The 13075-nt window shown below is 36.9% G+C and overlaps 1 protein-coding gene across 3 annotated transcripts in view, besides 1 other annotated feature; it reads left to right on the top strand.

Annotated features, from left to right (window-relative positions):
* SLCO5A1 (solute carrier organic anion transporter family member 5A1) overlaps positions 1–13075 on the top strand; it is a 167933-nt gene that overhangs the window by 42235 nt on the left and 112623 nt on the right. The window lies entirely within an intron of this gene.
* Positions 1636–1930: a silencer, noted in NCBI's record as "tiled region #147; HepG2 Repressive non-DNase unmatched - State 24:Quies". NCBI's record gives its function as "represses a minimal TATA promoter and a strong SV40 promoter by Sharpr-MPRA in HepG2 cells {active_cell/tissue: HepG2}" and the evidence as "EXISTENCE:reporter gene assay evidence [ECO:0000049][PMID:27701403]".

Below are 13075 nucleotides of genomic sequence, written 5' to 3'. Positions count from 1 at the left end.
GCCACCTATTGTTGAGACCAGTGAATCTCCTGGTCTCTAATAACTTATCAAGTCTTATGAATCTTTTCTCCTAAACCTCTCACACTACTGTCCACTGTCCCAGCCTACTTCTGATCCTTACCACTTCATGTCTGGACTATCGAGTTTTCTTATCCATCGGGTTCCTTTTAATTCTTACATAGTAAAGCCAGACAAATGCTCTTAAAATACCACCTTATATCATTCCTTTGCTCAAACACTGGCATAGGCTCCTTATATTCCCCATTGCCGAGGACAAAATCCAATTTCCTGGCTCGACATTGAAAGCTGTCCACATTACTCTATCTCTGCTATTTCAAATAATTCACTCCTTACCTTATTTACGGTCTTTTCCTACCATATTTCTGTACAGGAGCACTTTTGCCCTCCTGCCCCCTTTATGCCCAAATTTTACTTGTCCTTCAAGATCTTGCCTTAATATACACTTGTCTGAAATGTTCATTTTTTTTTTCCTTTGTGAATTGCGATAGCACTGCTCTGTTTGGCCATTAATCACACACTGGCTTGAGATTTTCTTATGTTGAAATGGTATTAATCTATATCTTTTAACATTTCTGTTGTCTGTTTCTTCTCTCCAACTAAATTATAGTATTTCTAAGGGTGCTTACATTTTCTAACACCCCAGTGCTCTACAGAAGAAGATGGGTAATAGCTAGGATATTGGCAGATGGATTAATATATCTAATATTTGATAAAAATAGATGCTAGAATAAAAATACTTCATTTTATTTAAAAGCAAAGACAGAATTTTGACTTGGATCTTTTCCTTGTTGACTTTGTTTTGACTTTACTATTTATAATGTTGTTTATCCTGATAGTCTGAGCTTCTTTTAATGGTTAGATCAATATTTGCTTGAATATCTTCCAAAGCAAGCCTTCTGTAATTCACTTATTAGAGAAGGTCTTTAAATTCTTGGGTATAGGATTTTAAAAATGAAATAATGCTTCAGTTAGTAAAATCCTAGTTTCAGAGCAAATGCTTCTGTTGTTAATGACCTGGATGCTGTCACACTGGACTCTGGGCTTCTTGAGGGAAGTTACTATTTCTCAGTCGTCTCCATGATCTCAGTGCCTAACACAGCCTCTGGCACGTGTGTACTTGCTGTGTCAAATGAAAACTGCGGAGCAGCACTGCAGACTTGGAAGGAGAGAAACATTACATCTCAGATATTTTTAAATGTATTAAATATTTGTCATGAATTTAATATTTTTCTTCTAAACAAACAAAGCACAATTTTTAATGACTGTAATTTAACAATATAGTGTCCCTCCCTCAAATCTCTTATCTCCTGACTCAGTACATCCATGTCTTGGATTTACAGTGTCTACTCATTTTATCATGATTGCTGCCATTCTGGTTTTGCAGAGGTTTCACGTTTCTCTGTCCCTGCAGAGCGATCATGCTGGGATGGCTCCGTGCATGTTCTTGCCCCCAGTTTCTGCTCCTTTGAAATGTACCCTAGAACACCCAGGTGGTGGGTGGTGATGGGAGCTCAGCTAGCCAAGAATGAGGGAGGAAGGGGATGTGATCAGAGGACCTTTAGGCTGCAGGAACAGAGGGACAGTTACAAGAAGCCTCAGCTCTGCACCCTCTGACAGCCTGGGGAAATTCCAGCCCTTTATTCTTTTCCCTCATCCCTTCCTTCCTTTCTTCCCTCCTCCCTCCATTCCTCCCTCCTTTCCTTCTTTCTATGTAAGTAACATTGGAAGGGAATATGCTGTTTGTACAATGGCAGTCCTGGCAACAGCTCTCTGTTCTCTTCAAATCCCCTGAAGTCATGGTATGCCTCTGGCCTTTTTTCTTTCTGGTTCTACTCACTCAGTTGTTACTCAGTCTTCCTGGGCAGCAGTTGTGTTTATGATGCCCTCAGAATGTCAGCAGTCTCCCTTTACCAATCCCATGTGACTGCTGATCTTCACCTTCACTGTCCTTGATTCTTTTTGTTTTTAGTTCATACTGCTCTTGTTCATTGTAGTTTAAAACCGCATATTATTCTGATGTGTGCACGTATCACAGTTTCTTTCCTCAATTATTATTCTTTTTTTTTATTTTAGAGATAGGGTCTCATTATATTGCCTAGGTTGGAATGCAGTGGCTATTCACAGGCACAAGCATAGCTCACTGCAGCCTCACACTCCTGGGCTCAAGTGATTCTCCCAGCTCAGCCTCCCAAGTAGCTGGGACTACACGTGTGTGCCACCACACCTGGCTCTCTTTCCTCAATTTTAATAGTTAAAATTTATTAGGGATATTAAGTGTTTAGGTGAGATAAATGTTACAAATATGTTTCTCCCACTTTTTAAGTATTTATTATTATTATTACATTTTTTAATTTTTAATTTTTGTGGGTACATAGTAGGTGTATATATTTATGGGGTACGTGAGATGCTTTGGTACAGGCATGCAGTGTGAAATAAGCACATCATGGAGAATGGGGTATACATCCCTTCAAGCATTTATCCTTTGAGTTACAAACAATCCAATTACACTCCTTTTTTTTTTTTTTTTTTTTGAGAAGGAGTCTCGCTCTGTTGCCCAGGCTGGAGTGCAGTGGCATGATCTCGGCTCACTGCAACCCCGCCTCCTGGGTTCAAGTGATTCTTCTGCCTCAGCCTCCCGAGTAGCTGGGATTGCAGGCATCCACCACCATGCCCAGCTAATTTTTGTATTTTTAGTAGAGACAGAGTTTCACCATATTGGCCAGGCTGGTCTCAAACTCCTGATCTCAGGTGATCCACCCGCCTCAGCCTCCCAAAGTGCTGGGATTACAGGCTTGAGCCACCGTGCCCGGCCCAATTACCCTCTTTTAGTTATTTTAAAATGTACAGTTAAGTTATTATTGACTATAGTCACTCTGTTGTACTGTCAATATTTTTATTATTTTAAAATAAATTTTATTGTATATATTTGAGGTTTACAACATGTTGTAGGATACATATATTAATAGAAAAGTTACAGTAGTGAAGGATATTAACATATCTATCATCTCAGATAGTTAATTTTTGGTGATAAGACAGCAGCTAAAATCCACTTATTTAACAAAAAACCCTGACATACAATATAATTTTATTAACTTTAGTTCTCATGTTGTACGATAGATGTCTAAACTTGTTCATCATACACATCTGCTGTTTTGAATTCTTTGACCTGCATTTCCCATTCCCCGGCCACTCCCCCACCCAACAGGTGGTAACCACTGTTTCATTCTCTTTCTGAATATTTGAGCTCTTTTTATGATTCCACATAGAAGACCCTTACTGTCTTTGACCACTTACTTGATGATGCCTCAAGGGAGATAACACTTCTTGCCTAGGAAGCTAAAACATCTTGCCTATCAATGTTCAGGTTTATTCTCCTAGGTTTTAATTTTTGTCACACATCCAGCACTATTACTTGCATACTGATTTTTGGGACAGTATGGGTCAAAATTGTTCACAAAACACAAAATAAATGGATAAAAGAGAAGCCAACAATATGGAGACATATTTGCTTTGGTAGATTGGCTGAAGGTGATGGTGCTCTATAGTAGCTGAGGCCCATTAGCCAAGAGGCACAGTGTTGTGTCCTGGGTCGGTTTTACTGCTTGAGAATGCGTTCTGTTTCTTGGGGGATGAACACACACACAATACTGAAACAGATGACTATATGTGTGGAAATAAATACATATGTTTGGGGATATTTCAGAGACAGATAGTATTTAGAAGAATCAGCACAGGGTGTGGTATCCTTAAGCACAGTAGACGTGGATTCCAGAATCATGCCAAATTACTTGCATTCAAATCTTTTAGGTTTGGCTTCTGAAGGAACTCAACCTAAGACATTTGCAATAGCAAAGACTTTCATATTTGTGAGAAGATAATTTTAGATTATACTAAGACTATAAATTTAGTTGGGATGCTTTCCTTGTTCCTTAATTAAGGTACACAGTAGGGAAGCATCTTAAAGAATAAAATGCTAATGCATTATATTGTTATAGTATCTAATTCATTGTTTGAACAAGATGAACATTAAAAATGATAATTATATGTATAATCAGTTTATACCAAGGTTGTTAGAGTGAATTGTTTACTGGAGATATGAGGGGTGATTATCATATCACTCTAGCCTCATATACTATGATGTTAGTAATTCTTAGAGTAATATGTTTATAAAAACTCCACAAGATGTAATCTGGGTGAGGAGTTTGCAAGCTGAGTTGGCATGATTTGGATAAGACCGAATCCAAATTAGTAAGTTAAATGTAGAATACACAGCTAGGAAGACTGAGGGTCACTTGAGCTGCATATGGAGACTGTGGGCTAAGATAGGTAACGAGATTTTCACAGGTCTCAGTATACAAGTCCTAGACTCAGCAGATTACCATCCAATTCCGTATTAACACCTTGAGCTCTCGTACAGTCTTTTGTTTTTTTTAAATCAAGTTTTCCCTTGTAATGGTAGAGTAAACATAAATTTCACACTTATGGGATGAGCATACTTCACAAAAGGAAGCAAAGCTCCTTAATGGGGTAATTGTTAGTGTGTAATTTTGGTTTGAGTTGCTGAACTAGTGAATAATCTCAGGGTTGCCCTCCTGAAATAATTTGAAATTGTGTGATTTTTTTCTTTTAAATCTACCTCTGGATTTGTTATGTAGGACTCTAATGAGATTAAAATCCTATAATCAAGAACAGAAATGTCATTCAAAATGAGAAAGCCGGTAAAAGAATGGGCTAATAACAATATTGGGTTTGATTCATGATTTGGGAGAGGGGTTTAAAACATTTATATATCATGTACATTGTAAAAAGAGTGTTTTTAAGTCAGTTTGTGTAGAACACCCTCTTGAAAGTAGTTTTGACCTCAAGGTTGTTGGGGAGATTAAGGAGATCATGTATAGCTAGTGCCTGGCATCTGTTTGCATATACCAGTTCTCATAATGGTTTTCCACTGCTACTATTCCTCTGCTATGACTTCTATATTCTGCTAAAAGCTTTGAGATCCAATAGTTAGTTCATAACTCACATGATGGCAAAGCCTAACCTGACCTGATTTGAGGCTATTTTCAAAATCATACTTAGTGTGAATACTTGTTCGTTTGTTGCAGAAATGTTAGTGTGCTTGATTTTGGAATGCCATTCCAGACTTCATTGGGATGTTACATAACATACATCCTCAGGCACCATTTTACTTTTGTAAAATGTGAAAAATTCTTAATTCCAAGACACATCCAGCTTTAAGGGTTTAGGCTGAGGGATTGTGGACCTGAAGTCATGTTATCATCCAAACCGGGCAACCTTGATTCATTACCATGGTGCATAAGCACATGAGGATGCTGATAACTAGGGCTGTCTGCAAAACTAACAGCTTCTTTCGGGTCAGTGGCCGGACACTACTCAATTGCAACGATCATGTGGCATAAAGAGAAAGTTATATATTTGAAGCACTTCCAATGCGGGAAAATCATTTGTCAATTTAGGCCACGTATAGGTCTGAATCTTGATTGGTCAGAAATGTATCAGAGGTTGGAAAGAATAAAGTTACTTTTTGTAAGAAGAGGTTGATATGTCAGTGCTAGATGCCACGAGTTGAAATGACGTAAGGCTCCTTCTGATTTCATGCTGTGGGTGATGATGTGAGACTCTGGCTGCATTCATGGGGAAGGGATGAGGACAAGTCAGCAGGGGGCAGCTGCTCAGCCCTGGGTTACAAACAGGTTTCCTTGCCTTCTGCCATGCAGACAGCTTTGCAAATTCAATCTACTAACATTTTAAATGCATCTTCACTCTTTCTTCCAAAATTATTGGAATGGATCCTTAACTATTCCCTATTTTGTTAGGCTGAGTTGTCAAGGCTTTTACTTAATTTCTTTCAGGCTGTTTAAGTAGTCAAAGTATTCATTAATTTAGAGCTTTCTCCAAATATTTGACATAGACATCATTTTCCTCAATTACCTAGACAGTTCTACGCAAGATAATTTTTTGAGGGATTCTAGATGACCAAGTATGTACTTTAGCTCTCCATTTTATAGATGACTACAAAAACAACTATTAAGTTGTTGTTGTGTGTGTGTGTGCCCACATTTGCCAAATCATGAAAAGATCACTTTCTTGGGGAGAACAAAATCATGGATTGTTTCTAAGGGTTCTTACTAATGAATAGTATTACCCAAACTCCATTAGATGAGCTGCTAAGATGCATTGCACTTGTGAAAATTTGGTACATCACATTAATTGTTGTAGCTTAAGCACTGAAGCCTGCTAGGGACAGCATATAATTATTTTTTAAAATGCTCCTAGTATTAGTTTTTTTGTCCCTCAGCATATTTGCCTATTGGTGAAACTTCCTGAAAGTAGTTAAAAATTGAGGGATTGGATGGATCATGAGGTTTATAAGATCATGATAAATCTGTATCATTGACAATAAGCTAAACAGTTGTCACATATGAAATAATGTTACTTATTCAGGCCATCCCTGATATGAAATGCAGAACTCTTAAAGAGAGTATGAGATAGTTAGATACATCTAGAAGCAATTTTTGGTGATCACAGTTGACATTTTTATATACAAGTTTCTTTGGTATTTTTAGAAGTATATTAACTTTCCATTTTGAACTATTAAATATTACATAATAACTATATCATCTGTGGTCAGGCATCAGAATTAATGCTCTATAACTGATGAGATTACTCCAGAAATGTCCTTGAGAATTTGATAAAATGTATAAGTGAATTTGAAAATTTCACATAGTGTATTTATGCAAACATCTCTATAATAACTTTGCTCTGAATATTATAATAGCTTCTATGACTATTCAGGATTCTCTATTTAAAAGATTAGGACTTGGTGTTGAGATTTCTTATGTATTATTTGGCTGTTGCACATATTAATATCCTTCTGCTAGGAGAGCAGCAATGGTGGTTTGATTTCTTTTGGATGGTTTGCTCTTGATATTTGTTGGGTTAAAGTGTGATTTCATTTGTGGCTGTATTTAAATTACTTGGGAAGCCATGTGGTATAGTGTAGTACTTGGATTTCAAAGTCAGACTTGGGTTTGAATCTACTGCTTACTAGTTTTGTGACTTGGGTACATTTCTTACTATTTCAAAGATCAGACAGCTTCTTCAAAGTGCAAACTAACTAAACTTATATTTCAGATAACTTGTTGGCAGGATTTACTATTGTGTTTAGAAAGCACACAGGAAGCACTTTATAAGTATTCATTCTCTTCTTCCTTTTCTGTCTCCTGAAGTCTATAGTTATTGGGACCACTGTTAGGCATTTATCATAGAATAACTTATGTCAATAATTATATTTTTTTGCATCAATTTTATTGAGATATGATTTTAAATTACAATAAGATTTACTAAATTTAAGTATAGAATTTGGTTGCTTTGACAAATATCTATAGTCCTATATTTATCACTACTATCATGATAATGTTTCCATCACCCAAAATGTCTGCTTGTGCCATTGTGCAATCTCCACCCCCTTTTTGCCTCCAAAACCACTTGAGATGCTCTCTAGCACTAGTTGTGTGAACATGTATTTTAATTTGTCTTGGGTAATCTAAGAATGGAATTGCTGGGTCATATGGTAAATTTCTTTCTTTCTCTCTCTCTCTCTCCGTCCTTCCCTCCCTCCTTCCCTTCCTTCCTTCCTTTCTTCCTTTCTCTCTCTCTCTCTTTCCCCTTCCTTCCCTTTCTTTCTTTTCTTTTCTTTCTTTCTTTCGCTTTTCTTTCTTTCTTTCTCTTTCTTTCTTCCTTCCTTTCTTCTTTCTTTCTTTCTTTCTTTCTTTCTTTCTTTCTTTCTTTCTTTCTTTCTTTCTTCCTTTCTTCTTTCTTTCTTTCTCCTTCCTTCCCTTTCTTTCTTTCTTTCTTTCTTTCTTTCTTTCTTTCTTTCTTTCTTTCTTTTTCTTTCTTTCTTTCTTTTTTTTTCAGACAGAGTCTTGCTCTGTTGCCCAGGCTGAAGTGCAGTGGCACACTCTTGACTCACTGTAGCCTCTGCCTGCCAGTTTCCAGCGATTCTCCTGTCTCAGCCTCCTGGGTAGCGGGGATTACAAGCACACACCACCATGCCTGTCTAATTTTTGTATTTTTAGTAGAGATGGGGTTTCACCATGTTGGCTAGGCTGGTCTCAAACTCCTGACCTCAGGTGATCCACCCGCCTCGGCCTCCGAAAGTGCTGGGATTACAGGCGTGAGCCACCGCACCTGGCCTGTATGTTTAACTTTCTAAGAAACTACCAAACTATTTTCCATCATGGCTGTACTTTTATGCATTCCCACCAGCGATGTATGAGAGTTCTAGTTGCTCCACATCCTTGCTACTACTTGATATGGTCAGTCTTTCTAATTTTAGTCATTCTAGTGATAGTGGTATCTTATTGCTTTTATTTGCACTTATCCAATGATCAATGGTGTTAAGTATTTTTGCATAGATTATTTTCCATCTTGATACCTTCTTTGGTGATACAACTGTCCAAAATTTTTGCCCTTTCTCCATTAGTGTTTTAATCTTCTAATTATTGAATTGTAAGAACTCTTTAGGTATTCTGGGTATGAGTCTTTGCAAATATTTTCTCCCAAACTTTGGCCTTGCCTTTCTAAAAAATAGACTTTAATCTAGGTGTAGCTTTTTAGGTTAAAAAAAGATCTTATTTTTTAGAGTTTTAGGATCACAGCAACATTGAGAGAAAGGTACAAAGATTTCCCGTGTATTCCCTGCCTCACACATGCATAGCCTCCTCCATTATGAAGAGTCCCACCAGAGAAGTAGGTTCATTACAAGTGATGAACTTACATTGCCACATCCTTGTCATCCAGGGTTCATAATTTACATTAGGATTCATTCTTGGTGTACATCTTATGGGCTTGTACAAATGTATAATGATGTATCTCCACCGCAATTATCATTTCATTCTCCGTATAGGTCACACACTCTTTTTAGGAAGGGGCATGGCCCTCTTTTTCACTCATAATATTTAACATAAGATATTTTAAAAGTATAACTTCACCAAATAACTACTGATTGATTAATGATTAGGGAATGGGGTGTTTTGGGTAATTCCAATTATCTGACAACCAGATATGCAAATTCCATTTTCAAAGACTTTGGTACAAAAAAAATACACTTAACCATAAAATTGACATCATCATCATCATCCTTTTATGAAGATACCTTTTTTAATTTTTAAAATTTAAAAATTAAAATTTAAAATTAAAATTCAAAATTTTTATATTTTAAAAATCATTTAAAAAATTTTTCGTAGGTACAGAGTAGGTGTATATATTTGTGGAGTACATGAGGTGTTTTGCTACAGGCATGCAATGTGAAATAAGCACACAATAGAGAATGGGGTATCCCCTCAAGCATTTATCCTTTGAGTTACAAATAATCTAATCACATTTTAAAAGTTATTTTAAAATATACAATTAAGTTATTATTGACTATAGTCATCCTATTATGCTATCAAATAGTAGGTCTTATTCATTCTTTCTATATTTTTTTGTACCCATTAATCTGAAGACATTTTAAAGTCTGGCAAGGTCTCAGAATAATAATTTTAACTATAAAGTTATATATAATAATAGAAGTAACAATAATGATCATTGTTATAGCTGACATTGATGAGCATTTAGTGTGAAGGGCTTTATGTACATTGTTTCATTTACTCCCCTCAATAACTCTTGGAAGTAGATAAATTATGATCTACTATTTATAGATGAGGAAGCACATCTAGTGGGATTAAGTAACTTGTCTAGGATCACAGAGCCAGTCCCTGATAGAGACCTACACAGACAGCTGATGCTGAAGCCAATACTCTTACGAACCTCTTGAATATGAGTTGAGTCATAATTGCCCTGAGGAAACTGAATATTACTTTAAAAATTTTTAAAACAAAATGCCTGGTATTAGATGGGTCATTTGGCACTTTTGTCTTTTTCATAAGAGTAGACTGTAGACGACTACACCTTCCAAATGAGAATTTTTTTCTACTGCTATAAATTGAAGTGTTGTGTGATAGAAAAAATACAAAAGGCTTAGGCATGTTAACTTAGTAAGTAAAACTGTATTTATAAGTTCTCTTTCTTATTGTCAGATAACAAAAATAAAGGGATTACTTTTTTTTTTTTTTTTTTTTTGAGACAGGGTCTTGCTCTGTCTCCCAAACTGGAGTGCAGTGGCAAGAACATGACTCACTGCAGCCTTGACCTCCTGGGCCCAAGATATCCTCCCATCTCAGCCTCCTGAGTAGTTGAGGCCATAGGTGCATGCCACCACACCTGGCTAATTTTTTAATTCTGTAGAGATGGGGTCTTGCCATATTGCCCAGGCTGGTCTTGAACTCCTGGTCTCAAGCAATCCTCCCTCCTTGGCCTCCCAAGGTCTTGGGATTACAGGTGTGAGCCGCTGTGCTAGGCTGGATTATCTATTTTTTTAACCTTTTTATATAACTTATAATTTTTGATGTTTATTTATTTATTTATTTATTATACTTTAAGTTCTGGGATACATGTGCAGAATGTGCAGGTTTGTTACGTAGATATACATGTGCCATGGTGGTTTGCTGCACCCATCAACCCATCATCTAGGTTTTAAACCCCACATGCATTAGGTATTTGTCCTATTGCTCTCCCTCCCCTTGCCCCACACCCGCTGACAGGCCCTGGTGTTTGATGTTATCTATTCTTAATTCAGATGAATTTATTATATTATTTCATTGATGAAGTGGTGACAAAGAAAAATTCTTTAAGTTAGGATAATAGGCCGGGCGCAGTGGCTCATGCCTGTAATCCCAGCACTATGCAAGGCTGAGGCAGGCAGATCGCCTGAGGTCGGGAGTCCAAGACCAGCCTGACCAACATGGAGAAACCCCGTCTCTACTAAAAATACAAAATGAGCTGGGTGTGGTGGTGTATGCCTGTAATCCCAGCTACTTGGGAGGCTGAGGCAGGAGAATTGCTTGAACCTGGGAGGTGGAGGTTGTGATGAGCCGAGATCGCGCCATTGCACTCCAGCCTGGGCAACAAGAGTGAAACTCTGTCTCAAAAAAAACAAAAAACAAAAAACAAAAAACAAAAACAAAAAAGGATAATAATAGTATCTACTACATAAGGTTGAAGTGAAGATTAAATAAGAAAATACATATAAAGGCCTTAGCACAGTATCTTACAGACAACAAATGCCCAATGTTATCTTATAGTAACAGTTCTATTCTCAATGACTGTTGACTTTGACTACTAATATGTCTCTGAATTCAAGAATAAACTTTACAAGGAACCCTAGTGCAGGCAGCCTTACTTAAAGTGTACCAAGACTAACTCCTGTGGATTGATGCAAAAAACAGGGTAGTGTTAAAGGTGTCCTAAAGGGTTTATATCACTCAAATGTCTATAAAATCCAATGGATGGCCATGGTGATGCCAATGACTGCAGGGACTTTGCACAAGACATTGTTCCATTTGTGCTTTGGTGTTGCTCTGAGCCTGGATCTTTCCAATGGAAATCATGCTTCTTCAAGTGCCTGGAAAGTACAGTGTGTCACACAGATGCCTGTTGACCTGGAAGGTGCTTCCTGGCAGTGACTCAGCCTTCCCAGGAGGTAAGTTGAAGCTGCTCTTAACAGCTGGTATGCTCTTCTGAGGCTTCACCGTAATTACTGAAGTAAATGGTATGCAACATATTTGGCATGTATTTTCCAGATAATGTACATTTCCCTGCCATCCTTATGGAAGCCTATTAGTGATGAAACTGGAAAAGGAAATCTAATAATGAGCTTCTTTTTCATTTAGAATGCTTTTAAGCCTCCTGCTACTAACAGCTCCAAAAATATTTTGAGATTTTCCGCTCTGATGTGATTTTTTTTTTTCAGTAGCAGAGCCCTGTATGCTTCTTTTTTATTTGTATAAATTTATGGGTTACAAGCATAATTTTATGGTGTCTTAGGTAATTGGGTAATACCATGGATAGATGGCATAGTGATGAAATTAGGCCTTTTAGGGTATCCATCACCCAAATACCATACATTGTACCCATTAAGTAATCGCTCATCATCCACCATCCACCCTTACCCTTCCAAATCTCCATATTCTATCATTCCACAGTCTACATCCATGTGTACACATTATTTAGCTCCCATTTGTAAGTGAGAACATGTGCTATTTGTCTTTCTGTGTCTGGCTTGTTCCACTTAGGATAATGGACTCCAGTTACATTCATGTTGCTGCAAAAGATACAATGTTATTTTTTATGGCTGAATAGTTTTCCATTGTGTATATGTACCACATTTTCTTTATCCAGTCCTCCATTGATATGCACTTTGGTTGATTCCGTATCTTTGCTATTGTGAATAGTGCAATGATAAGTGTGTGAAGGCAAATATCCCTTCGATATACTGATTTCCTTTCCTTTGGGTAGATACCCCAGTAGTGGGATTGCTAGGTCAAATGTTAGTTTTATTTTTAATTCTTTGAGAAATCTCCATACTGTTTCCCACAGTGGCTATACTAATTGACATTCCCATCAACAGTGTATAAGAGTTCCCTTTTCTCTGTATCCTTGCCAACATCTGTTATTTTTTGTCTTTTTAATAATAGCCATTCTGGTTGGTGTAAGATTATATCTCATTTTTGTTTTAAATTGCATTTCTCTGATTATTAATGATGTTGAGCATTTTTTTCATATGCCTGTAGGCCATTTATATGCCTTCTGTTGAAAATTATCTATTCATGTCCTTTGCCCACTTTTTAATAGAATTATTTTTGTTGTTGTTGGGTTGAGTTCCTTATAAATTCTGGATATCAGTCCCCTGTTGTATATATAATTTTGCAAATATTTTCTCCTATTCTGCAGGTTGACTGTTCACTCTGTTGACTCTCTCTTTTGCTGTACAGAAGCTTTTTAGTTTAATTAAGTTTCTTATAATTAAAATTTTGATACCTTTTTGTGTTTTGGAGAAATGTGCCCTTAAATGAAAAGAGGACAGGCTTTGGGTTCAGACAGAGTTAAGTTCTAATTTGGGTTCTACCACTTACTAATTGCCTATCTCCTTAAC

This window comes from Homo sapiens, chromosome 8 (genome assembly GCF_000001405.40).
Source record: "Homo sapiens chromosome 8, GRCh38.p14 Primary Assembly".
Taxonomy (NCBI): Eukaryota; Metazoa; Chordata; class Mammalia; order Primates; family Hominidae; genus Homo; species Homo sapiens.
Note: the sequence above shows the minus strand (reverse complement) of the source record. Positions and strands in the feature narration are given on the sequence as shown.